The sequence below is a fragment of the Homo sapiens genome, chromosome 1 (genome assembly GCF_000001405.40).
Source record: "Homo sapiens chromosome 1, GRCh38.p14 Primary Assembly".
In the NCBI taxonomy this organism is placed as follows: Eukaryota; Metazoa; Chordata; class Mammalia; order Primates; family Hominidae; genus Homo; species Homo sapiens.
The window spans coordinates 173,903,630-173,930,642 of NC_000001.11; the positions used below are offsets into that span (position 1 = coordinate 173,903,630).

Genomic DNA, 27,013 nt, shown 5'->3' on the forward strand with positions numbered 1-27,013 from the left:
TTCACTCTCCCTTCCCTTTCTGGCTGTCTACCATCTTTTATCGCTCTCTCCCTCATTTTCTTGATCCAGATGTGGTTACTGGGTAAAGAACAACTTGAAGGCATCATTTTACCATGTGCCCCAATAGCATGTTTCCCCTTTCCTTGTCTTCATTTCAAATGCAGAGTCCATTTATAATGTGAGATGGAAGTAGTTTGTATTTATTTTTACTTCTGTTCACAAACCAAAAATAGGAAGAGGTGCAAAGAATAAGAACATTTTACTTAACACAAGGGTTGGCTACTCTGCCCATGAAGATAATAGTGTTCAGAGGAACTTCTCTTATAAAAACCAGGAAAGGCCTGTTGGCCTTGAAAGTCACCCTGTTGGGGTTTAGCGAACGGCCAGCAATCACAACAGCGGTACTTGCAGCTGCTTCACTGCCTTCTTCATTTACCTGCAGGTCACATGGGAAATAAAACTAAATTAGCCACTCTGCCGTTCATTTTTGGCAGGTAAATCATCCACAGACACAGCAATTCCTCAAATGCTTTTGTTTTCCAGTAAAAAGTACATTTGGGTCAGGTTGGATTCCCTCCAGAATCCTACTTCTACTCATTCTTTCATGCAGAGAATGTAAGGTACTTGTGTTTGTCCAAGCCTTGTGCTAGGTAATAAGTGTAAGAGTTCCATTCAGGTAACCCAGAAATCTGAATGTACACAGGTTATCACATTTCTGGCTGGTACCATTGTAAATGGTTTTACAGCGGATTTTTTTTGTACCAGCCGCTGAAAGATTTTTGGCTCAAGATCTGAACTCCATAGTTGAAAGAAACAGTTTCACTCTTGGAGCATCAAGATCCAAGATACAGCTACTCCAAAGAGCCACTCAGGACCTAGGGCCTATGAAAAGAGGTGGGTTCTCTGGCTGGACGAGATGCCATTTTCTTGGAGTAATAGACTGAAACAATGGTATTTGAACATGGCTGATAAGCAGATCTAGAGGGAAACACCTTCAGAAAATTTTGCCTCAGGACCCAGAATATCACTAAAACTCTGTTTCTGCTCTTAATGAAAGCACATGATTAACCGGCTCCCTGGGTTTTGTGGAGCTGGTTGATGATGTCTTCTCCTTCCTTCTCACTCTTCCTTCCCCTTCCTTTGTTCCTCCCTTCCTTACCCGCTATCTCCCCATATTACCTATTTCATGCTCATTCCAGCACTAAATTATTAGCTTATTAGCAGACTAGAGTGTTTGCATGACCAGGATCCTTTTATTCAAATCAGATTCTGGTTTTTAATGGCTTCTCAGGTCTACAATTAGTTGGGGTCCTGTTTATTAAGGATTCCCAAGGTTTTCAAAGAAAACGGCTTTGTTGTAAGAACCATGGAAAAATCTTACATATTGTGTACTGGGCTCAGGTGGATAAAATGAATCCAGACCTCTGCTTCTTCCTAATAGTAACTCAGACCCCTCAAGGAGGTCTGAGTTGACCACTTCTAACTGGAGTCCTTACCAGAGGATATTCAATGAGAGTTAAAACCCTGAGGACTCAATTTCCCTTGCAGTCTTCCTAAGTGTTCTTTCTTCCAAAAATCCATGTGAAAGAGGGTGTGAGCAGTGTCATCTTAACTTCCAAAACCATTAATACAGCACTCTTGTAAAATCCCTTGTTCTGACCTCAATACCTCTACTCTTGCTATTGTCTTAAAGGTCATTGACATTCATTGTCCTATAGATTATATCCCCACACTGATGATTTTTGCACTTAGCCTTTCTGTCCACTCCAACTCCTGCTATCATTTGAGGCAATTAAAATATCTCAGTAGGCCGGGCACGGTGGCTCATGCCTGTAATCCCAGCACTTTGGGAGGCCGAGTCAGGTGGATCACTTAAGGTCAGGAGTTTGAGACCAGCCTGGCCAACATGGTGAAACCCCGTCTCTACTAAAAATACAAAAATTTAGTCGGGCGTGGTGGCGGGCACCTGTAGTCCCAGCTACTTGGGAGGCTGAGGCGAGAGGATCGCTTGAACCCAGGAGGCGGAGGTTGCAGTGAACTGAGATCATACCACTGCATTCCAGCCTAGGCGAGAGAGCAAGACTCCATTTCAATGAAAAAAAAAAATCTCATTAGGAGACCCGTTCAACACCCTAGTCTCCCATTTCTTTCATCAAACCTAATGAGCATTGCCTTCATTCCACTTAAGCAAACCTGTCCATGGCTACACCTTGGACTTGCCATCTCAGAACTACTCTACCTTTGAAATTATATTAATAGCATCCTTTTCTCAGATTATAACCTTGTGTTCTTTCAAGCTATCACATTTCCTCGCTCCCGTTAAAATTCCACTTTCCTCTGAGTTTGATCCCTGGATCTATATTTACTTAGCACCATCCTCTGAAACCTTTCTCTTTGACTACAACCTTCATTCTTTTCGATTTCTTTGATTCTAGGAACATCTCTACCATTGTCCAATCTCCTATCCCTCACAGCCTGGCTCCCGCAAAAAATAGTCTATACCAGTGGTTCCCAAATCTCATTGTGCATAAGAATCCCCTGAGGAGTTTAGTACATACAGAGATTCTCAGGGCCCATCCCAGAATCTCCAAAGATAAAGCTCCCCAGATAACTACTGCTGTTGGTCCATAGTTTAGTGTTTACTTGAGAACCAGAAGTTCCACAGGCTGTACACGGCTATTACTCTAACACAGGGTTCCATGCACATCTCATTTGGGGGAACACGTTAAGTGATATTCAACCGTCTTCTTTACTGTGGGACTTGTCAGACCTCAGCATGTCAGTGTGTACTGTTCATCTCCCATGAGAGGATATGCATTTATTTGACCACCTTTTCGTTTCCTCCAGTGTAGTCTAGTGCTCTAGTTGGAGCACACTTTAAGACACTGATGCACACTCACCAGCTTCCCTTTCTTACCTTCCATTTGCTCTTCATCCATTACAATTAGGCATGTGGCCACACTATTCTGTCCTCAGGGAAAGGTAAACTATGGGCAGTCTCCAAACTTTTTTTTTTTTTTTTAAGATTTTTTTGGTAGAGACAGGGTCTCACTATGTTGCTCAGGCTGGTTGCAAACTCCTGGGCTCAAGTGATTCTTCCATCTCAGCCTCCCAAGGTGCTGGGGTTACAGGTGTGAACCACCATGCCCAGCCCAGGAGTCTTCTTACTAGATGCTATCCATTTTCTTAAAACTTCTCCCTAGGTTGGCCGGGTGCAGTGGCTCATGCCTGTAATCCCAGCACTTTGGGGGTGCCAAGGAGGTGGATCACCTGAGATCGGGAGTTCAAGACCTGCCTGACCAACATGGAGAAACCCTGTTTCTACTAAAAATACAAAAATTAGCCGGGCGTGATGGCACATGCCTGTCATCCCAGCTACCCAGGAGGCTGAGGCAGGAGAATCGCTTGAACGCGGGAGGCAGAAGTTGTAGTGAGCTGTCGCACCATTGCACTCTAGCCTGGGCAACGAGCGAACGAAGCTCTGTCTCAAAAAAAAAAAAAAATTCTCCCTGGGTTTCTGCGACCCCATACTCTTCTGGTTCTCCTCATGCTGTAAATTTCTTCTTGATGGCCTTTGCTGGCTTCTTTTCCTATATCACCCTCCCTAAATGTTTGTGTTCCCGCTTGACCTGCTACAGAAGAGGTAGTGGGAGGGAAGGCAGAACAATCACACCATGAAGGTTTTGGAGAGGGCTGTATTATAGCAGGCCTGTGGAGGCCTTTTGCATGCCTTAACACTGGAAACAGGCCTTTTCCACGTGTTCCTGCTGTTCATGCATCTCCTTTCTGTACCCTAAGAGAGTGGGGAAGGTGTACTCACCTCAAGAAATGCCTTATGGAATGCATCTGAGACATAGAGGTCATCTCGGCCTTCTGCAACAATACCTGGAAGGAAGACCGGAGAAGTCTTTGTGAGATGGGAGAAAGTTGGCTTCAACCCACAGATGGGAATTCAGTTTGGATTAAGAGATCCTTTGGGGCTTTTTGAAACATAAGAAGAAATCCTAAATCTTCACCTAATCATACTCTCACAATGAATATGTGTTAAAAATAATAAAGTACTTTGGGGGCTGGGTGCAGTGGCTCACACCTGTAATCCCAGCACTTCGGGAGGCCAAGGTGTACAGATCACCTGAGGTCAGGAGTTGGAGACACTCTAACTAATATGGTGAAACCTTGTCTCTATCGTGAAAATACAAAAATTAGCCAGGTGTGGTGGCGCATGCCTGTAATCCCAGCTACTTGGAAGACTGAGGCAGGAGAATCGCTTGAACTCGGGAGGTGGAGGTTGCAGTGAGCCAAGATCACGCCACTGCACTCCAGCCTGGGCAACAAGAGCAAAACTGCATCTCAAAAATAATAATAATAATAATAATAATAATAATAATAATAATAATAAAAGTACTTTGGGCTTGTTCAGCATGGCTCCTGATAATTCATTCTCAGGCTTCAGCTTTTTGTGGGAGAGAGAAACGGCAAGACTCTGTTCTTACAGAAAAAACTCACTCCATCCAGAAGGAACATCTTTCTTTCCAGTCTGGCAACATTTTTAGTTTTCAAAACTAGCTTAAAGACAGCCCAATAGCACAGTGGCTCACGCCTGTAATCCCAGCACTTTGGGAGGCCAAGGCAGGTAGATCGCCTGAGGTCAGGAGTTCAAGACCAGCCTGGCCAACATAGTGAAACCCCGTTTCTACTAAAAATGCAAAAATTAGCCGGGCGTGGTGGCAGGCGCCTGTAATCCTAGCTCCTTGGGAGGCTGAGGCAGGAGAATCACTTGAATCTGGGGGGTGGAGGTTGCAGTGAGCCAAGATTGCACCACTGCACTCCAGCCTGGGGGACAAGAGCAAGACTTCGTCTCAAAAAAAAAAAAAAAAAAAAAAGGTCAATAAAGATAAATCTAATTACTTAACATCGTAAACTTATTTTATTATTTATTTATTTATTTAGTGATAGGACCTCACTCTGTTGCTCAGGCTGGAGTGCAGTGGTGTGATCACAGTACACCACAGCGTTGACCTCCCGGACTCAGGCAATCCTCCCAGCTCTGCCTCCCAAGAAGCTAGGACTACAGGTGTGCGTCACCATGCCTGGCTAATTTTTTTTATTTTTTGTAGAGACCATCTCACTATGTTGTCCAGGCTGGTCTCGAACTCATGGGCTTAGACGATCCTCCCACCTCAGCCTCCCAAAGTGCTGGTATTACAGGCGTGAGCCACCCTGGCCAGCCAACTTCTTTAAAAGATATTTTAATGTGCCAGGTGCGGTGGCTGACGCCTGTAATCCCAGCACTTTGGGAAGCCAAGGCAGGCGGATCACAAGGTCAAGAGTTCAAGACCATCCTGGCCAACATGGTGAAACCCATCTCTACTAAGAATACAGAAATTACCAGGTATGGTGACGTGTGCCTGTAATCCCAGCTACTCAGGAGGCTGAGGCATGAGAATCGCTTGAACCCGGGAGGCAGAGGTTGCAGTGAGCCGAGATCGCACCGCTGCACTCCAGCCTGGGCAACAGAGTAAGACTCTGTCTCAAGTAATAATAATAATAATAATAAATGTCAGTGAGGCCTGTGTAATGGGAACCACATTTCCCCAGCTCTTAATATCTGTCTCTTTGCTCTGAATTCCAATGCCCTTTCAAATTCCTCTCCACCTGGTCCCATCTCCTCTACCTGATACAGACTCACAGGGCACCAGTGCTAGCTGGGCCCATGGAGATCCAAGAACAAACTTCCCTTTTACAGAAGAGGAAACTGAGGTCTCAAAAGGAAAAGAGATTTCCACAAATTAGCAGTAGAAACTAGGATCAGTATCCAGGAGTCCTGACTTGTTGCTCCTTTCTATTCTTTCTCCAACTCTTCCACTTTTGGTCAGACTACCTTGCGGGTGGAGAAGGGAGGAAACTCCTTCCTAGACAAACCTGGGAGTTTGGACTTTTCAGGGCTGAACAGATCGACAAGGCCCATGTCTTGCAGCTGCTCCTTCAAACTGAAGCCGTCCTCAATGCGGAAGCGGGGCATGTGGACCACCAGCATCATCTCCTCCAATTCATCCAGCCACTCTTGCAGCACCTCTGGGGTGAGTTCCTTCTCTACCTTGGCCAGGCTCTTCTCAGGCTTGGGCAAGATGAGGACCATGGTGATGTCATCACCTTTGAAGGGCAACTCAAGCACCTGGGTGCCTTCAGCCACGCGCCGATAACGGAACTTGCCTTCCTGGTACATCATAGATGCTGAACACGACTCTCCATCAGCCTTGTAGAACAGTTCCTTCCTTGTGTTCTCAGGGCTGAACTTTGACTTCCACAGGCCCTGGAAGAGAATCACAAAGTAAGAACACAAACATTCATAGGAGGATAGTTATTGACACAAGACATATCCATATTATAGTGTTACATTAATATATAATTATTCGGAAAAAAGACTGGCGGGATATGCACAAAAAGGTTAACAATGGCTGTGTCAGAATGATGGAATTATGAGTAGGTTTATTCATAACTGTCAAACCTTGGAAGCAGCCAAAATGTCCTTCAGTAGATGAATAGACAGACTGTGGTACATCCAGACCAAATGTAATGCTATTCCATGCTAAGAAGAAATGAGTGACAAAGCCACGAAAACACAAAGGAACAGTAAATGCATTTTACTAGGTGAAAGAAGCCAATCTGCCGGGCGCGGTGGCTCATGCCTGTAATCCCAGCACTTTGGGAGGCCGAGGTGGGCAGATCACGAGGTCAGGAGATCAAGACTATCCTGGCTAACACGGTGAAACCCCGTCTTTACTAAAAAAAAACCAAAAAATTAGCCAGGCATGGTGGTGGGTGCCTGTATTCCCAGCTACTTGGGAGGCTGAGGCAGGAGAATGCCGTGAACCCAGGAGGCGAAGCTTGCAGTGAGCCGAGATCACGCCACTGCACTCCAGCCTGGGCGACAGAGCGAGACTCTGTCAAAAATAAATAAATAAATAAATAATAGATTGACCTGCCCTGCTGACCTGTACCTGTGTAGCTTTCGGCAGTCCATTTGCCCTCTCAGGGCTTCGGTCTCGCCATTTAAAAAAAAAGGGGGTAAGCTGAAGAGCAAGAGGAAGTCCCTGGGGTCTCTCCAGGGCCATTCTGAGTACCTTGAAGTAAATGGTGTTAACCAGCACCAGAACAGTGAGCTCATTGATGGCTTCCGAGGGAATGACATCGGTGATTCGGCCTTCGGTCTTATTGGACACCCATTTGTTGATGGCCGCTCTGGATTGCTCTGCATTTTCCTGAGGAGAACAGAAAATAAACCTACTCACCTGTGCTATTCAATTGGCTTCTCCATTTTCCCAGGCAGCATTTTATTTTTCTCACCATCCCTCTGTCCTTTCCCACCATTTGATTAAGAAGCCATTGCTCTAACCCAAATTGGGGAAGCCTCACATATCTAATATAGTTCCATGAATCTTTCCTGTAGTTAATAAATATTATCAGAAGAAAAAGAACAAAAAGAAATAGGAAGAAATAAATGAAAAGAAGGAAGGCGAAAATAGTCTGGGAAAAAGAAGATAAAATATTATTTTCTCTGACTTTGGAAAACCTTAACTCACAAAAGTAGAATTTCCAAGGCATGTGCCAGGGGAAGCAATGAATGATTGCAGGTTATATGGGGTTGGCAGGTTATATGGGGTTGGCAGGTTATATGGAGGAGAGAAATGCCCATGCAGTCAAATACATTTGAGGAATGCCGATTGAATAAAGCCAACAGATTTCTTTGTTGCAGAGTTTCTCAGAACCTTCATAGGCCCATGTGCTTCATGAATCTCCAAGAGGAGAATGTAACATGCATCATGTACCAACTTTATTTGACCATGATAACAGTTCAAATTAAGTAAGATATCTTGTAGAACTGGCATCTTCAAAACACCCTTTGGTATATATTTGAAGTTGGTGGATGGAATGAAGAATTGATTATTAATTCATGTTTTCTGGGCAGTCACTACAATCCAAGCATGGATACCTTTGATTTCTCAGGTTTCAAGTAAGAATAACTATTGCAGGGGTTCTAACTTTTAGTCAGCCCTCCAGCAGTCTTCAGCAGCAAAGCAGTGTGAATTTGGATGCTGTTTCTCCACCTCCTCAATCTCTGAGTGGAGAGGAAGAACTCGGAGGTCAGGGGTAACATCTGCAACTCACCTTGAAGTCCAGGGGCTGGAGCTTGGCTCCATATACCAACTCACTGATGTCCTGGTAGGTCTCATTGAAGGTAAGGGATTTGTCTCCAAAAAGGCGATTGGCTGATACTAACTTGGAGGATTTGTTGGCTTTTCGATAGAGTCGGCAGTTCAGTTTGGCAAAGAAGAAGTGGATCTGATCAGATGTTTTCTCAGATATGGTGTCAAACTTAAATACCTATAGAAGTCAAAAAAAAATGGTGGTGGGTTTGGTGGGCTGCCTAGTTAACATGGGTGGTGAGCACATGCTGGTCAGTCTCTGACTAATAGCCACCTCAGTTGTTAACTCCTTCAAGCACAGTACCTGGGACAGCATAAATGCTCAACTCTTGTGTTCTGATGAATAAAAGGATAAAAGAAGAATGAAGGGTAGGAAGGATAAAGGGAAAAAGAGAGACTAGGTTGCCACCTAAAGTCTCTAAACGCCTCTAGATCAACACACAGACGTTTTCTTGCTGGAATGGGAAAAGTCCTCTTGGTGATTCTGGACAGAGAAGAGAATCAGGACGGTGTCCTTCTCGTAACAAACACTTTTGTGGCATCTACTGGGGCCAGCTGCTCATGGAGGCTCTGGGATACTGGTGGTAGGGGTGAAAAAGGAAGAGTGAATCTATCAGCAAGGGATTAAACAGGCTCAGAATCTAAGAGCTCAGGGCTGAAAAGGACTTAGAAGTCATCCATGCTTTGAAGTTGGAATCCCCCAATGCCCACCTTCACCATCCCCAAGGCAAAATGGGTGAGGCTGTTCCCCTCCTGCCCTTTCCATGCTCTCTCCTCAGGCTACAAAAGGCCTTTTGGTTTTATCTGTTCTCTGCCTTTGGTTTTCCTGATTTTGCTCCAATAGGCACTTTTTTTAGGGGGGGATTATGCTTTTGATCAAAAGCTTGGTGCTGAATCTCTCTTTTCTCCAGAGAGATTCAGTCTCACCCTGCTTTCCCAACACATGGCGTTTGTGTAGAGGGGAGGACCAAAGGAACATGTGTGGTTTGGAAGCAGTGTTCTGTTCTGTTCTTCTTGTAGGAAGGGTTACATTTAAGATCTTACCTGGGGACAGAGACATGAGTGATATGGAAGTACTTTGAGACCAGTACCAATGTATACAAAAATGACTGAAGGGCCCAGAGAAGGCAGTATTATGTGTCTTCAGAGTTTTTAAATCTACAATTTCTTTCAAAGAGTGAAGACTTGGGTTAACTCACCCCAGAGCCCTGAGCAAAGGTGATGAAGTTCCATGGAAATTGACCACTAGAATAGAAGGAACCCTCCTAAGACCCACAGACTTTAGTGTCCAAGTTTCAAATAAGCACCGTATACCATCTTGAAGGGACTCATGCCTCCCTATTGATGAACTCTGCTTCCAAAGTGTGATCCAACTTGAAGAAAGACTGTCATGCAGCCAAGCCAAGGACAGATTAAAGATCTAGTGTTTCCATCCATGACTTGTCATAGCCCCAGAGGCCAACAGTGATCAATCAATCTATGACATTTCATCTTATCATGCCCTACTTCCCTCCCACAAAAGGCAGTGGGGGGAAGGGGGTGGGAACTAAGTCACTGAGCTGAAATGATCCATACTTCCCAGAGCCAGAAAACACTCTCACGTCCTTGAGGCTTCTCTTGGCTTTCCTGGGCCCCTGGTCTCAATATACCATCCTAGGCCCCGTGCAGTGGCTCATGCTTGTAATCCCAGCACTTTGGGAAGCCAAGTCAGGCCGATCCCTTGAAGTCAAGAGTTTGAGGCCAGGCGCGGTGGCTTACGCCTGTAATCACAGCACTTTGGGAGGCCAAGGCAGGTGGATCACGAGGTCAGGAGTTCAAGACTAGCCTGGCCAACATGGTGAAACCCCATCTCTACTAAGAAGAAAAAAAATTAGCCAGGCATGGTGCCGGGGGCCTGTAATCCCAGCTACTCGGGAGGCTGAGGCTGAGAATTGCTTGAACCCGGGAGGTAGAGGTTGCAGTGAGCTGAGATCGTGCCACTGCGCTCCAGCCTGGATGACAGAGCGAGACTCCGTCTCAAAAAAAAAAAAAAAAAAGTTTGAGACCAGTCTGGCCACGTGGTGAAACCCCATCTCTACTAAAAATATAGAAATTAGCTGGGCGTGATGGCGTGTGCCTGTAATCCCATCTACTCAGGAGGCTGAGGTGGGAGAATTGCTTGAACCTGGGAGGCAGAGTTTGGAGTGAGCCGAGACTGCACCACTGCACTCCAGCCTGGGCAATAGAGCGAGATTCCATCTCAAAAAAAAAAAAATACTATCCTAGAATTTTTTTCCACGAGAGCCTATATGCCTGATGTCACCATATGGTAAAGCTACTCTTCTTCCACCAGAGGAGGGACTGGCACTACACATTGCCTGGCACAGAGGAAGTGCTGAATGAATAAATAAATAAATGATCAAATTAATGAGTAAACATATAGATGAAAGAATTACTGAAAAGAAGTTGAGAGAAGATACAAGCCTTCCCCCATTTTAAGGTGCTCAAAAGAGGAAACCAGGATTTAAAAAGTAGATAGCCAAGATTCCTTGGCTAATTTTTTAAAAAATGATTTTCAAAGGGAATTATAACACAGTGATGTTCAAAGGGAATCGTAATGCATAATGAGCGCCCCTAGTGGCCTGCAGTGTTGGTTGAGGAATCATTGGACTTGGGCCTATGGAAGCCCCAAAGGTGCTCCTAACAAGGTGGCTGGGCAGAAGACCTTTGGTCGTACCTCCATCAGTTGCTGGAGGGTGTCATTACAGGCACCCAGCTTGGTCATAGCAAAAGCCGTGGAGATACTCAGGGGTGACAGGAAAATGTTATCATTGTCATTCTTGGAATCTGCCAGGTGCTGATAGAAAGTGGTAGCAAAGCGGGAATTGGCCTTGGACAGTTCCCAGACACGCCGGTTGGTGGCCTCCGGGATCTTCTGTTCTGAGCCCTCATCCTCAGTTGCCTTCTTCTCCGGGGAGCGGTAAATGCACATGGGATTCATGGGAATGTCCCGCGGCTTGGCTGTGCAGATGTCCACAGGGCTCCCGTGACAGGTCACGCAGTCCCAGAAGCCAATGAGCAGCAAGGACAAAAGATAAACCTTCCTGCAAGGAGACAAAATGCCAAGTTAAGCTAGGCTGCAACCCCTAGCCCCACTGCCCACCACAGGGTTGCCCCAGTAAAGCAGAGGATTCCAGCCCACCTGGTGTGGCCAAGAGAAAGGCTAAATCCTTTGAACCAAGTACAGGGGCCCGGGACAGGTTCAGTCCTAGACTTCTTGCCAGGGGACAGTTCAGTTGCCTGGACGTGGTCATGTTGGAATTAGAATCATCTGATGGTTATTTGGAGTATTATGTGCTCAATTCCCCACGCTGGGAGAAAAAAGAATGAGAAGCTTCCTGTTTGTGACATGGAATGTGCATGCCTAAAAAATCGGCTTTAGTGCCCAGTGAAGAGTCAGGGTGGTAGGGGGAGCCATCTACAGAAACTGTTTGGGGAAGGACTCTGATAGATGCAGCAGAGAGATTTCAGCAACACAAGAGAAGTAAGAAGAAATGGATGGAGCAAAGGCAATATCTGGCCGGGTGCGGTGGCTCACGCCTGTAATCCCAGCACTTTGGGAGGCTGAGGCATGCAGATCACTTGAGGTTGGGTGTTCGAGATCAGCCTGGACAACATGGTGAAACCCTGTCTCTACTAAAAATACAAAAATTAGCTGGGTGTGGTGGCGCACACCTGTAGTCCCAAGCTACTAGGGAGGCTGAGGCAGAAGAATCACTTGAACCCAGGAGGCGAAGGTTGCAGTGAGCTGAGATTGTGCCACTGCACTCCAACCTGGGTGACAAAGTGAGACTGTGTCTCAAAACAGCAACAACAAACAAACAAACAAACAAAAACAATGGCAATATCTGTGTGCTGAAGATTCCTACATCTCTAGCTCCAGCCCTAACCCTTCCACTGAGCTCCAGACTGACTATTTGCTGGACAGTTCCACCAGGAACTCCTACAAGTTCTTCAGGGAAACAGGACCAAACTGAACTGGTAATTAATTCTCCCCCACAGGCCTGCTCCTGTGAGTGGGCTCAGTGAATCCCGTACAGAAACCTGAGAATCACCCTGGATTCCTCCCTCTCTCCTCCTCATTTAGTCAAACCCCAGAGTCAATCAGTTCACCCCAGAGTCAATCAGTTCTGTTTTTTTACTCTTTCACCAGTTATTGCCACTGCTTTAGTTCAGGCTCTCATCCCTTTTTATTGCCTGGAATTTTTAATAGTCGCCAACATGGATTCAATGAAGGTAAATGAAGCTAATTTCACATTTTAAAAAAATGAGGTAGTTGGGACACTCGATGAAGCAAATCAAGAGATAAAGTCTCTTGTAATATTTTTTGTAGATAAGACAGGGTGGGGCAGGGGCTGCCTCCAGCTGGTTTATGGTTCCTGCGTGTACACAAGGGGGTCTGTGTGTGGGTACTGGATCTTCCCATCTTCTCCTGGGAGAGAAAGACAGGCACCCAGTGCAGATTCACGGACGTGGTCCGTTGGGCAAGCCTGGGGCTGGCTGGAAGCTGGGGCAGCTGAGGGGGACTTGCCTTCTTGCGTGGTCTGAGTCCAGTTCTGCAGCCCTTTCAAGAACAGAGGTGCAAAGCCGGAGAGAAGCAGCGGCACCAAGGGAGATGTGGAAGGCAGGCTGAAGAAGCAGAGAGAGAGAGGAGAGGACCCTGCCATTCATCTTCCCATCTCCACTGCCTTCGGTTGCCCACTCTGTCCTTCAACTACATTTGGAAATGCAATTTGAGGCTGAGAGGACCCTGGGAGGGCTATGAAGCACAAATTAAAACCAAGACAGTTGTGCCACCACCCCGTTTCTAGCCTCCTGTGACAACTCAGATGAAGAAGGGAGTGTGTGTGGCATTGAGGGAGGGACAACTCTCATTGTGAGAAAAGGAAGCAGTTTTGGCCCTTTAGTCAAAGGTCACTGGGATTTGGGTGGGGGTGGAGTGGGGTGGATCTGAGTGGAAGAAAGAGCAAAAAGGGAGTGAGGAGGTCCTCATGGGTAGCATTTGCTCTCTTCCCGGATGGATGGCAGGCCCTGGGGATTCCCCTTGGAGCGTCCCCTGGATCCCGTGAGTGCTGACTTCCTGCACAGCATCTTTACACCAGGGATGACATCCCCCTTGTTTCTTAGGCTAGGGACCCAAGGGGTAGCTTAGGAAAGGCCTTACCCCAAGAGGTGGGGTGGGAGGGAGAGCACTTGAAATGACGTCTTCCAAACAGGTCTTTGACTGTAACTACCAGGGAGAGGGCCTGGTCTTCTCAAAGGTGTTGGAGGTCATTCCTGTGAGTCCTTTGGAGGTCACAAAACCCAGTAGGGGCAGGCAAGGGGAAAGCTCACCCCTCTTACCTTTTTCCAGAGGTTACAGTTCCTATCACATTGGAATACATGGCCGCTAATCTTCCACAGGGCTGGGCAAGTGGAGATAGTGTGATCTGAGGCAATCCGCCTGAAAACTGGTTCTTTCCTCTAAATCTCGCAGAGGTTCCAGAGGACAGGGTGGGGCAGAGAGCTGGTCAGGAGGGGGAACTGAGGTCAAAGGCTGATGACCAGTTCCCAGGGTTAAGCAAAGTGTAGAGCCCAGTGTTGTTTAATTAGTAGAGAAGTTTTAAAGTTCAATCAGGCCCAGGGAAAGCCTGAGCCACCTCTCTTGCCCACACTCCCTCACTCTTCTCCTCAGCTTTATAGAAAAGGAAAAGGAGAGTATGTTCATACCCTCAAACTTGGTTAGGAAACTAACCAAGGAAACAAACTTGGTTCATACCCACCCTCTCTCATAGTTTTCTTTATGGAGAGAGGGAGAGAGAGAGAGAAATATCTAATTAGAGAAGGCAAAGAGGGACAAGCTGCTACCTTCAGGCATCTGAGTGCCAAGGTGTCCCTGGCACAGACAAGGAAAACACAATGGTTACACCTGTGGCCCACAGAGAGACCCATTCCCCAGCAGCCCTGAAGTGGTGGGACAGGGAGAGAAGAGCAGGGCCTCGGGGTGCATGCCAAGCGCGTTTCTAAGGGGTGTGAGCAGCTGGGAAATACTTAGCAAAACTCTACTGGGGGATCAGGAGACAGAATGCGGGGCAGGTGAAAAACCCACGTACAACTGCTGAAATAAAAACAAACTAAATTATATTTATGTGTATCGTTATTTTTATTAGTTATTGGGGAGATTGGGTAAATTCAAACTAGTGGAGATAAAGGGCAGGTTTGTTTACATTTCCCTCTTCTGAAATAGCCAAAAGCACCATCACAAGGACTGCAGCCACCAAGTTCACAGGGCGCATGTGCCTCCTGCTGTGTGATCAAGGACTCCTTGTAGTTGTTGTTGCAGTCATAGGCATTTTCGAGAGCTCTTCGTTCATGAGAGAGGACATCTCTCCTGAACTGAAGCTGTGTCTAAGTTCTTGGCTGATTCAGACCCTGGATCCTTTGAAGCCCTCCATGTGCAGTGTGAACAGTAGCCGAGAACTGTCCCAAAGGGCCCCAGAATGCCCAGAGGCTCATCTGTCACCCTAGATTAAAGACTATTGAAAAGTCTCCTGTTCAACCACTTGAGTTCAACAAATACACGAGTGCTGCTTGTGCCAGCAGACACTGTTCTTGGGGCTGGGATTCCATTCGGGGGAGACATACAGCAATCACATAAAGAATCAGTATTTTAGGCCAAGCGTGGTGGCTCACACCTGTAATCCCAGCACTTTGGTAGGCTGAGGCAGGTGGATCACCTGAGGTCAGGAGTTCGAGACCGGCCTAGCCAACCTGGTGAAACCCCATCTCTACTAAAAATACAAAAAATAGCTGGGCATGGTGGTGGGCACCTGTAATTCCAGCTACTCAGGAGGCTGAGGCAGGAGAATCACTTGACCCCAGGAGGCAGAGGTTGCAGTGAGCCGAGATCGTGCTATTGCACTCCAGCCTGGGTGACAGAGCAAGACTCCATCTCAAAAAAAAAAAATCAGTATTTAAAAAATAAATATGTAACGTGCCAGTCAGATGTTAATAAGGTCCATAGAGAAAACTATAGCAGGGCAAGGATATAGGAAGCAGTGGGAGGAAGTGGGGAGGGCACCATCTGAGAACACTTGGTAGGAAAGGCCTCCCTTAGGAATCATTGTTAGGAAACCAGAATGAAATGATGGAGGGGGCCATATGAATATCTTTAGGAAGAGCTGTCCAAAGAGAAATCAGAAATACAAAGACCTTGAGGTTTCAGGAACATGCTGTTGAGACCTATTGTTCCAGCTTATAGGAGTTATGAGGTTTGTGTCTTGCCAAGAAGGTCCTTGGGGGAGGGCAGATGAGGGGCCCTGCAAAAATATAGGTGATTTGGTGAACATCGCTGGAAAAGATTAGGATGCAGATACTACCAGGTCAAGGAATTAAGAACTATAACATCAGGGTTTGTGTTTAATTTGTTCATCCAGGCTGGATGCAGTGGCTCACATCTGTAATCCTAGCACTTTGGAAGGCCAAGGCTTGAGGCCAGGAGTTCAAGACCAACTGTGAGACCCCACACACGGTGAGACCCCCATCTCCAGAAAATAATAATAATAAGCTGGGCATGGTGGCATGAGCCTGTAGTCCCAGCTACTCAGGAGGCTGAGGTGGGAGGATCACTTGAGCCCAGGAATTCAGACTGCAGTGAGCTGTGATCACACCACTGCACTCCAGCCTTGGTGACAGAGTGAGCCCCTGTCTCAAATGTTAAAAATTAAATTATATATATATTTTAAAAGTGTTCTGCCAGGCGTGGTGGCTCACGCCTGTAATCCCAGCAGTTTGGGAGGCTGAGGTGGGCAGATCACTTGAGGTCAGGGGTTTGAGACCAGCCTGGCCAAGACAGTGAAACCCTGTCTCTACTAAAAAATAAAAAAAAAATTAGCTGGGCATGGTGGTATGCACCTGTAATCTCAGCTACTCAGGAGGCTGAGGCAGGAGAATCACTTGAACCCGGGAGGTGGAGGCTGCAGTGAGTCGAGATTACGCCACTGCACTCTAGCCTGGATGACAGAGCGAGACTCCATACAGGTGTAAGCCACTCTGCCTGGTGCATATTCTTTTCTTCTTCTTCTTCTTTTTTTTGTTTGAGACGGAGTCTCACTCTGTCGCCCAGGCTGGAGTGCAGTGGCCTGATCTCAGCCCACCTCCAACCTCTGCCTCCCAGGTTCTAGAGATTCTCGTGACTCAACCTCCCAAGTAGCTGGGATTACAGGCCCCTTCCACCATGCTTGGCAATTTTTTTTGTATTTTTAGTAGAGACGGGTTTTCACCATGTTGGCCAGGCTGGTCTCAAACTCCTGACCTCAAGTGATCCGTCTGCCTTGGCCTCCCAAAGTGCTAGGATTACAGGCATGAACCACAGCGCCCAGCATTATTTTCAAATATAGTACTATTTAAAAATCTCTAAACCTTATTCTAATTTTGCCAATCATCCAATTAATGTTTTTAGAGACTGGTTGTCACTCTGTTGCCATTAGAGATGGGGGTCTTGCTCTGCTGCCCACACTGGTCTCAAACTCCTGGCCTCAAGCAATCCTCCTGCCTCAGCCTCCCCACTAGCTGGAATTACAGGCAGGAGTCACCACACCTGGTTTTCAAAGCAATGGTTTTCACCTTCTTTGTTTCAGAATCCTTTTATAGTCTTGCCAAAGAACATCTAAATATTATTATTAAAATAGTTACATATTAAAATAGTTTTGGCCAGGCTGAGTGGCTCACACTAGTAATCCCAGCATTTTGGGAGGCCGAGGCAGGAGGATTGCTTGAGCCCAGGAGTTCAAGACCAGCCTGGGCAACATGCGAAACTCCATCTCTATAAAAAAATGCAAAAACTTAGCTGGGCATGGAGGTATGCGCTGGTAATCTCAGCTACCCAGGAGGCTGAGGTGGGAGAATCACTTGAGCCTGGAAGGTTGAGGCTGCAGTGAGCCATGATGGCACCACCGCACTCCAGCTTGGGTGATGGAGTAAGATCCTGTCTCAAAACATAAATAAATAAAGTGAAATCGTTTCGACTTCATATACCTACTGAAAGGTTTTCTGAATCTCCTAGGGTCCCTGGACCATGCTTTGGGAAGCACTGATTTATAGCCAATAAAAAAAAAAGAAAAGAATTTTTTTTCTCCTTTCCCTGGGGCAGGAGCACACATTGCATTTAGTTGTCATGTCTCTTTAGTCTTCTGCAGCTTGGAACAGTTCCTCTCGTCTATGGTCATACTACCCTGAAAGTGCTTGATCTTAGAAGCTAAGCAGGGTCGGCCCCGGTTAGTACTTGGATGGGAACAGTTCCTCTCTTTTTCTTTCATGATTTTGGCTTGTTTGAAGCATATAGGCCAGTTAATTTTGAAGACTGTCTCTCAATTTGGTATGTCTAAAATTTCTTCAGGATTAGATTCAAGTTATCCTTTTCGGGGCAGGAATACAACAGAGGTAATACTGTGTCCTTCTCAGTGTATCGCATCAGGAGGTACAGATGTTAATTTATCCCATCACTGGTGATTAACTTGGATTACAAGATTGTGTCTGCCAAGTTTCTCTGCTGTAAAATTACAATGTTTCCCCTTTTGTTAAATGTCTTGTGGGGATACTTCACATACTTGAGAGTATGCAAATATATTGTTTTCCATCAAATTTTCACCTGCTAATTTAAGCTTCCCTCAATGATCCTTTTGCAAGACTTACAAAAATTTTTTTAATTAATCTTTTTTTCTGAGACATGGTCTCACTATTGCCCAGGCTGGAGTACAGTGACACCATCTTAGCTCACCGCAGCCCTAGACAACTTGGGCTCAAGCAATCCTCCCATCTTAGTCTCCCAAGTAGCTGGGACTACAGGTGTGTGCTACTGTGTCTGGCTATTTATTTATTTATTTTGAGAGGGAATTTCACTCTTGTTACCCAGGCTAGAGTGCAATGGCGCAGTCTTGGCTCACTGCAACCTCCACCTCCTGGGCTCAAGCGATTCTTCTGCCTCAGCCTCCCAAGTAGCTGGGATTACAGGCATGCACCGCCATGCCCTGCTAATTTTTGTATTTTTAGTAGAAACGGAATTTCACCATGTTGGCCAGGCTGGTTTTGAACTCCTGACTTCGGATGATCCGCCTGCCTTGGCCTCCCAAAGTGCTGGGATTATAGGCATGAGCCACCGCACCTGGCTTTATTTATGTATTTTTAAAAACTTTTTGTACAGATGGGTTTTCGCCATGTTGCCCAGGCTGGCCTCTAACTCCTGAGCTCAAGTGATCTGCCTGCCTTGGCTTCCCAAATTGTTGGGATTACTGGTGTTAGCCACCACATCCAGCCCCTGCAAGACTTTTAAAGCACTCCTCCCTCCCTGTTATTTCCATGTTTCTCTAAAAAGGATTATCACAAAAACCATTAGAATTAAAAGAGATTAAGTTAGACAAGACACTAGGCTGTGAGGAAACAAGCTGTTTCATCCTTTGCTCTTCGGGGTACAAAGTGCCATAAGTCTTTGTAGGTGCTTTGTAGGGAAACATGGAAACACCAAAATTACAAATGCATGTACCCTGTGAATCAGACATTCCACTTCAGGAAATTCATCCTACAGCTACACCTGCATGGGTTTCAGCAAGGTTAGCTGCCATGACCTGATTCATAATAACAAAAAGTTGGACACCACTTCCATCTGTAGGAGACTGGTTAAATAAACCAAGGCACATCCCCACAATGGAAAACTGTGCCATTGTGTAAAAGAATGAGGATGCTCTATATGGATGTACTGATATGGAAGGGTCCTTAGGATAATTATGTGGGGAAAAAGCAAGCTGCAGAAAGTGTTTATAGTATGCTGTGCTTTTTGTAACACAAAGTGAGGATGATGGGGTGAGGGGTGGCTAGAGACAAGGGTAGGAGTAGACTTATCAATATGTACCATCTTATTTAGTTTTCTAATGTTGAACATGTCAATGTATCACCTATTCAATATGTCTTGACTTTATGACACAAGGGTGTCAGTGTTGTATTCACACAGAGGCTTGGGGAGAGAAGAGGAGCAGGGCAGGATGAGGGCAGTGGCAGCACCAAAGAGGAACCTGAGGCAGGCTGAGTGCCTGGCTGGTGACAGGGGAGAAAAGGAGAACGGGTCTGCAGGTGGAAAGAGGTGTTTAGGTGTGCCCTGCCTGTGAAAGTAGTTTCTAATGGCTGTATAATATTCAGTAGTCTAGAACTTAACCATTACTTTAGTGTTAGACATTAGCCTAGGTCAGACTCTTTAAAAGTTTGAATATGATTTATGATCATATAGGTGCCATCTTAATAGGTGCTATTTAAAAACACTATATATCAGGGTCTATACTAAATGCTTCCCAGGCATTAGCTTATATAATTCTCTCATCAGCTCTACCAGAAAGATACTAATTATGCCCAGTTTACAGATGAGAACACTACTATTTACAAGAGTTATTTGCCCCAAATTGCAAAGCTAGCAGAGCTGAGATTCAAACCTCCCTCTGCTTCTCTCAAAGCCCTTGTGTCCCAGCACGATAGATATGAAAGAAATGCCCAGGACTTCCCATGTTACAACCCACAGTGTCCAACTGCTTTTCATCTGGTTCTCCTCTGGATAGTCTCTGTCAAACTTGTTCACAATTCCCTCCAAATCCAGTGCCCAGAAATGAACCCAGGGACTACCACATTTTCCTTTGCCTCTATCTCTCTCTCTCCCCCACCCCTCTCTCTCTATATATAATATCTATATATAATATAGATATAATATATATACAGCCTCCACAGCTGGGACTACAGTATGCTCCACCACACATGGCTAATTTGTTTTTTGTAGAATCGAAATCACTATGTTGCCCAGGCTGCTCTCGAACTCCTGGTCTCAAGCGATCTTCCTGCCTTAGCCTCCTAAAGTGCTGGGATTAAAAGCATGAGCCACCACAGTCGGCCTGTCTATCCATATTTTATTTGATGCACATCCCAAATGAGCATACTCACAACTCAGCCTGGGCATTCAGCACACTAGCTCTTTCTTTTTCCACAGGTCGGTCTATAAGCCACATGATGAAGATGAGACTGATCCTAAGCCCTGGAAGTTATCAGCCCAGGTATTCCCTGCCTCTCACCTCTTGGACCCAGCACATTTGGGAAACTGAGATCCCATGCCCTGGAATGAAAGAAACGGATCTATAATCATGTTTCCGGACCGAGAAGCCATGTGCCTCATTCTGTCCTATCCAACATTGCCATCAGTGGTTTGGAGGAAGACACAGTCAGGAAACAGTCAAGGGATAGTGGGTGCAGTGATCATCTGCTGGATCCCGGGCTGCCTCGCCCTCTCCACTATGCTTCTCCTGCAGGTCTCCCAAGAGTTCTCATTGGTCTCTGGGAGACTTTACCACCAGCCTAGTCTCTGGTACTCACTGCACACAGCTCCCCTTGGCTTTTATTATACTATCAAGGTTTGGATGATCCCAGATCCATTTCCTCTTGGTTCATCTTAGACTGTTTAGACTGGGAAAGAAAAAAAGAGCTTGTATGCTGGGCAAACTAATTTGTGACTGTGTGTGTGTTTACACACACATAGGTATTCTGAAAAGTATTTTTTGTGTATATTTAAATATAATAAAGATATTTTAGGTTGGGCATGGTGGCTCATGCTTGTAATGATTTGGGAGGCTGAGGCTAGAAGATGGCTTGAGGCCAGGAGTTAAGAATAGCCTGGGCAGCATAGCGAGATCCCATCTTTACAAACCATGAAAAAATTAGCCGGGTGTGGTGGCGTGCACCTGTAGCCATAGCCACTTCTTTTTTTTTTTTTTTTTTTTTTTTTTTGAGATGCAGTCTCGCTGTTGCTCAGGCTGGAGTGCAGTGGGGCCATCTCGGCTCACTGCAGGCTCCGCCCCCCCAGGTTCACGCCATTCTCCTGCCTCAGCCTCCCGAGTAGCTGGGACTACAGGCGCCCGCCACCTCGCCCGGCTAATTTTTTGTTTTTTCAGTAGAGACGGGGTTTCACCGTGTTCGCCAGGATGGCCTCGATCTCCTGACCTTGTGATCCGCCCGCCTTGGCCTCCCAAAGTGCTGGGATTACAGGCGTGAGCCACCATGCCTGGCCAGCCATAGCTACTTCTTAAGTCCAGGATTTTGAGTCTGCAGTGAGCTATGATCACACTACTGCACGCCAGCCTTGGCAATAGAGCAAGGCCCTGTCTCTAAAAAAGAAAGAAAAATAATTTTTCTTTAAATTAACGTTTTCATGGAAATTTCTAATATTTCTAGAACTGGAAATATTAGAAAGAGATAGACATCTTAAGAACTTTTATCACAAAAAAATCAGTTTTTGAAAAGGACTCCCTACTTCTGTGTGGCACTGTTTTTCTCAATTCTGAGTGAAAAGATTGGAAGGCTTGTGCTTTGCTGTGTTAGGAGTAGGTTCAAGGAACCATGAAGAGGAGAGAACATAGCAGTTGATTACCCTCTCTTTTTTTAGTACTTCCTTCAAGATCAGTGATAAAATTCCTCTTTCCCTAGCCCTGCTTCCAGTTCAGTAGTAACTTCCATGAGCAGGTAATTCAGCAGGTCCATGTCCATTGCCTCATACCCTGGGCTGTTCTGTTCTTTCCTTTGGACTCAAGAATAAGACCTTGGCAGGGAAGAGATAGGACCCAGCTTCTGCTGTGGTTACTGAATAACTCAAAGCTTAACCCTTCCATGGAAATTTGGCAAAACATTTAGCACAAAAAGCAGTCTCCAACTCCCTTGGGTTCCCAGTTTACTAGGTGAACATGACATTTTAATTAAGGTGAAATTAAACTTACCAAAATAAATCCTACATTATCATTTAGCAGCATTTAGCTGAGGCTCTCAAGGCATCTCACTGGAATTTGCCCAAATCCTCCTGTTAGAAAGTTCAGTTTTGGCTTCAGGGAAACCAAATCAAAACAGCAAATATTTATTGAACATGTCCTGTTGAATGTACCAAGTACTTGATAAACATTCATGTTTGAAAAAATCCAGGTCCAGAGTAGTTCTGCTAACTTAATAACAGGAAATATAGCACTTTAAATTCCTCCCAAATAGAAAGTTTAGATTATCAAGTAAGGTGAAAAATGCTTACTCATCCAGAAGAATTGACACCTTGTATGAACAGAAACATTGGACAAGGCTATTCTTTGGAGGCTGAGCAAGAGAGAGTTGTGTGGGGTCAAAGCTTGTTGCTTTTATATTAGTTTGGGAAGTTGTAGGTGGTGAAAGAGAAACAGCAAAGGGAGGCTGGGTGCGGTGGCTCACGCCTGTAATCCCAGCGCTTTGGGTGGCCGAGGCAGTCGGATCACTTGAGCTCAGGAGTTCGAGACCAGCCTGGCCAACATGGCCAAACACCGTCACTGTGAACAAAAAAGTAGCCAGGCGGGTGGCGCATGCCTGTAGTCCCAGCTACTTCAGGAGGCTGAGGTAGGAGGATTACTTGAGCCTGGGAGGTTGAGGCTGCAGGAAATTAAGTATGGGTTAAGGAGATGCATCACTGGTGCCAGGCTGACAATAGGTAGACTTGTGGACTTAATTTAGGTATCACCTTGACTGGATAAAGGGATACCTAGAAACCTGATAAAGCATTATTTTGGATGTGTCTGGGAGGGTGTTTCCCAAGGACATTTGTGTGTGAGTCTGAGTGGACTAGGTGGAGAAATCTCTGAGAGCCGTGACAGACTTTTCTTCTGCTGCCTTGGACATTAGAACTTCAAGCTCAGTGGGGCACGGTGGCTCACACCTGTAATCCCAGCACTTTGGGAGGCCGAGGGGGGCGGATCACAGTATCAAGAGATTTAGACTATCCTGGCCAACATGCTGAAACCCCATCTCTGCTAAAAAAAAAAAAAAATACAAAAATTAGCTGGGCGTGGTGGTGTGCGCCTCTCGTCCCAGCTACTCAGAAGGCTGAAGCAGGAGAATTGCTTGACCCCAGGAGTCCGAGGTTGCAGTGAGCCGAGATCGCACCACTGCAGTCCAGCCTGGTGACAGACCGAGATTCCGTCTCAAAAAAAAAAAAAAAAAAAAAAAAAAGAACTTCAAGCTCACAGGCCTTTGGACTCCAGGACTTAAACCAGAGACTCGCCAGGTCTTGAGGCTGTCACTTCCCTGGTTCTCAATGTAAAAATGTTTAAACTTCTTCAATAAATGAAGGGGTTTTTTTGTATGTCTGTATTTATGAAAGGTAAAATTTCTCAAGATCTCAGGTTTTGGGACGACTGTATATGCAGTGGTGACCCATTGTGTGTGTGTGTGTGTTTGAAGCAGGGTCTCACTCTGTCATCCAGACTGGAGTGCAGTGGCAAAATCATGGCTCACTGTAGCCTCAACCTCCTGGGCTTAAGCAATCCTCCTGTGTCAGCCTCCCCAGTAGCTGGGACTATAGGCACAAATCATCATGACCAGCTAATTTTTCTATTTTTTGTAGAGACGAGGTCTCCTTATGTTGCCACACTGGTCTCTAACTCCTAGGCTCAAGTGATCCAGCTGCCTCAGCTTCTCAAAGTGCTGGAATTACTGATGTAATTCTGCACTCAGCAGTGTAAAACTGCACTCAGCTCATTGTAGTTTTTGATTGATTTCATCAACTCTTGGAGTTGTCTGCCACTATATTTCATATGACTGCGATTATAATGCTGGGTACAATAACCAACCACAGTAATATGCATTTATACATTTTGCTTTTTGACCTACTTATAAATATGGTTTGTCTGCTCTTAACTGTTACATCCATGTGACTGTTATTATATCCGTGTTTGTTAAATACAAATGTATCATTGCCTATTTTATTATGTAAATTGGCCTATGAAGTATTGTCTTTTTTTTTTTTTTTCTTTTTGAGACAGGGTCTCAGTCTGTCGCCCAGGCTGGTGTGCAGTGGTGTGACGATGTGATCATAGCTCACTGCAGTTTCTATTTCCTGGGCTCAAGTGATCCTCTCGCCTCAGCCACCTGAGTGGCTGGGACTACAGGGATGCACCACACTATGGTTTAGTAGACACAGGTCTTATTGTTGCCCAGGCTGTCGTGTTTTCCTGTTTCTCAAATAAATCTTTTATTATTTTTTTTTTTGAGATGGAGTCTCGCTCTGTCGCCCAGGCTGGAGTGCAATGGCAAGATCTCGGCTCACTGCAACCTCTGCCTCCCGAGTCAAGCGATTCTCCTGCCTCAGCCTCCTGAGTAGCCAGGACTACAGGAATGTGCCACTATGCCCGGCTAATTTTGTATTTTTAGTAGAGATGGGGTTTCGCCAAGTTGGCCAGGCTGGTCTCAAACTCCTGACCTCAGGTGATCCGCCCGCCTCAGCCTCCCAAGGTGCTGGGATTTTAGGCGTGCGCCACCGCGCCTGGCCCTAAATCTCCTTTTAAAAATTTAAATAGGGCCAGGTGCGGTGGCTCACGCCTGTAATCCCAGCACGTTGGGAGGCCGAGGCGGGCGGATCACGAGGTCAAGAGATTGAGAGCATCCTGGCCAACATGGTGAAACCCCGTCTCTACTAAAAATACAAAAATTAGCCGGGGGTGATGGCACGTGCTCCGGGAGGCTGAGGCAGGAAAACTGCTTGAACCCGGGAGGTGGAGGTTGCAGTGAGCCGAGATCACAATACTGCACTCCAGCCTGGGTGAAAGAGCCAAGCTCCGTCTCGAGGAAAAAAAAAAAAAAGTAAATGCCTTTTAAAGAATTTACATTTTTTTCCCCAAAATTATAACTTTGGAACTTTTGTCTTTCAGAATTTCAATATTTGGGGTTGTCTTTTGGGATTATGATCAGCTCCCAAGAAGCACAAATCTGGTCCCTTCATTCCACTGCTTACTACCCTTCTTTGCATTCCGTTTACTTTCAGAATAAAATCCAAACACTTAAGCACGGTCCACAGGCTTCCATGATCTATCCGGCTGTGCATCTCAAGCCACTGTGTCACTCCTTTTCCTCTAGTCTTAATGAACTCCTTCCAGTTTCCACACCTCAGGCTCTTTCTTCCCTTAGAGAATTCACACGTTCTATTTTCTCTGACCAAGCCTCTTGTCTCCCACACACCTTTCTCCCGCTCCCCCATGATTTTTCAAGTTTTATCTTCAATGCAACTTCCTCAGGAAAGCCTGACCAGCCAGGCAAGGTTAAGTCTTCCTTGGATACCATCTCACTGCTCCTTGCTCTTCTGAGGACAAGTATGGTTGAAAAATTCTTTGGTAATTCTGTTTAGTGTTTTGTCAAGTTCCAGAATTAAAGTTCATTGCGGGTGGAGGCAGTATTTTCTAACTCTTTGTCCTCTACCGGGCTGTGCATATGGGAAGTACTCAATACATTTCTTTAGTAAATACTCAATGGGTATTCAGTGGGTATTTGACAAGTCCACTTTTTATATGGTAGGTGTTCCAAATAAGGGTGGCAGCCATTTACTGAATGAGTCATCTTGCTGGAGGGCAAAGGGGTTTACTAATTGATCACTGAAGATTAGCTGGTTATTGGGATTGAAGCACTAATGGGCATAAAAACCAAATTTCTATTGGTATTTTTGTTTCAGCCCAAGAGGTCAGAATGTACCCTATTGCTTGTGAGCAGGGTAGGCCTAGGTAGGTGATTAAGATGACAGGGCTAGTTTTGTAATTCCCAGTCCAGAATTTATAATCATTCAGGGATGGCTGCAGCAGTTACCACTCCTCATACCCTAAGCTTTCTTTACTATGGTCCCTTCCCTTGAGGTCAGATATACCAATGGACACCTAATCGCTAATTGTTGGTAGGAGAAGTAAATAACCTTCACTGGTAATGTGCATTATTGATTTTTTTTTTTTTTGGAGACGGAGTTTCACTCTTTGTTGCCCAGGCTGGGGTGCAGTGGTGTTAGCTCACCGCAACTTCTACCTCCCGAGTTCAAGCGATTTTCCTGCCTCAGCCTCCCGAGCAGCTGGGATTACAGGTGGCCACCACCATGCCCGGCTAATTTTTTTTTTTTTTTTTTTTTTTTTTTAGTAGAGATGGGGTTTCATCATGTTGGCCAGGCTGGTCTCAAACTCCTGGCCTCAGGTGATCTGCCTGCCTCGGCCTCCCAAAGTGCTGGGATTACAAGGTGTGAGCCACCGTGCGTGGCTGCATTATTTACTTTTTAAAAATATTTAGTTCCTACTTTAAAGGAAATTGCAGCTATTGTGTTATCCATCTTTATTAAAAAAATGGATTTTTTACATAATCATGTTTCACAATGAACGAAAATGCCATTCCTTGGTATCATCTAATGCCCAATACTTAATCAAATTTTCCTGTATACAAAAGTCTTTTGTGTATTTGGTTTGCTAAAATCACCTATGCTGCATTTGATTTTTGTACTTCTTACATTTCTTTTAATCTAGAATAATAGAGTCTCATTCCATTGCCCAGGCTGGTGTAGTGGTGCGATCAAGCATCATAGCTCATTGTAGCTTTGATCTCCTGGACTTTAGCAATCCTCCCGCCTCAGCCTCCTGAGTAGCTGGGACTACACACACGAGCCACCACACCCAACCTCCTCCCTTTTCTTCTTCATGCCATTGAGGTGTTGACTAACGTATGGTCTCTATTAGACAAACTTACTTATATCCACTAACTTCGAGGAATGACTAATGGGTGGGGATTTCAGGACAATCAGAAGTCAGCAAGAATGGGAAGACAAGGCTGGGCATAGTGGCTCATGCCTGTAATCCCAGCACTTTGGGAGGCTGAGGCGGGCAGATCGCTTGACATCAGGAGTTTGAGACCAGCCTGGCCAACATGGTGAAACCCCATCTCTACTAAAAATGTAAAAA

The 27,013-nt window shown here is 45.6% G+C and overlaps 1 protein-coding gene, 1 long non-coding RNA gene and 1 pseudogene across 9 annotated transcripts; 2 read left to right on the forward strand and 1 right to left on the reverse strand.

Moving 5' to 3' along the window:
• On the reverse strand, positions 171–13,698 carry SERPINC1 (serpin family C member 1). Of its 7 annotated transcripts, none has more exons than NM_001386303.1 (8): positions 13,607–13,698; positions 12,778–12,875; positions 10,924–11,290; positions 8,170–8,385; positions 7,125–7,262; positions 5,923–6,313; positions 3,821–3,885; positions 171–436 (listed from the first exon to the last, which is right to left on the reverse strand). In NM_001386303.1, the coding sequence occupies exons 1-8, from the start codon at positions 13,628–13,630 to the stop codon at positions 260–262; spliced, it is 1,476 nt and encodes a 491-aa protein (NP_001373232.1). In that variant the 5' UTR covers positions 13,631–13,698; the 3' UTR covers positions 171–259. The 7 variants fall into 7 exon arrangements, with proteins under 7 accessions (NP_001373232.1, NP_001351981.1, NP_001373233.1 ...); NM_001365052.2 differs by lacking the exon at positions 12,778–12,875 and adding an exon at positions 11,389–11,557 and having other exon boundaries at positions 13,590–13,698; NM_001386304.1 differs by lacking the exon at positions 12,778–12,875 and having other exon boundaries at positions 7,146–7,262; positions 13,590–13,698.
• LOC124904457 (uncharacterized) lies at positions 12,871–20,849 on the forward strand. Of its 2 annotated transcripts, none has more exons than XR_007066739.1 (2): positions 12,871–13,311; positions 20,248–20,849. It is a non-coding gene; the product is annotated as an uncharacterized LOC124904457 (long non-coding RNA). The 2 variants fall into 2 exon arrangements; XR_007066740.1 differs by lacking the exon at positions 12,871–13,311 and adding an exon at positions 15,637–15,756.
• RNA5SP67 (RNA, 5S ribosomal pseudogene 67) lies at positions 17,441–17,571 on the forward strand (annotated as a pseudogene).
• Positions 20,850–27,013: the final 6,164 nt, after the last annotated feature.

Excerpts from the sequence above, each read along its gene's own strand:
- SERPINC1 (NM_001386302.1), bottom strand. The coding sequence starts at position 13,630 with ATGTATTCCAATGTGATAGGAACTGTAACCTCTGGAAAAAG. Across the intron at positions 11,291-13,589 it reads ACTGTAACCTCTGGAAAAAG|GAAGGTTTATCTTTTGTCCT; the intron begins GTAAGAGGGGTG and ends GTCTCCTTGCAG. Across the intron at positions 7,263-8,169 it reads TCCAGCCCCTGGACTTCAAG|GAAAATGCAGAGCAATCCAG; the intron begins GTGAGTTGCAGA and ends TGTTCTCCTCAG.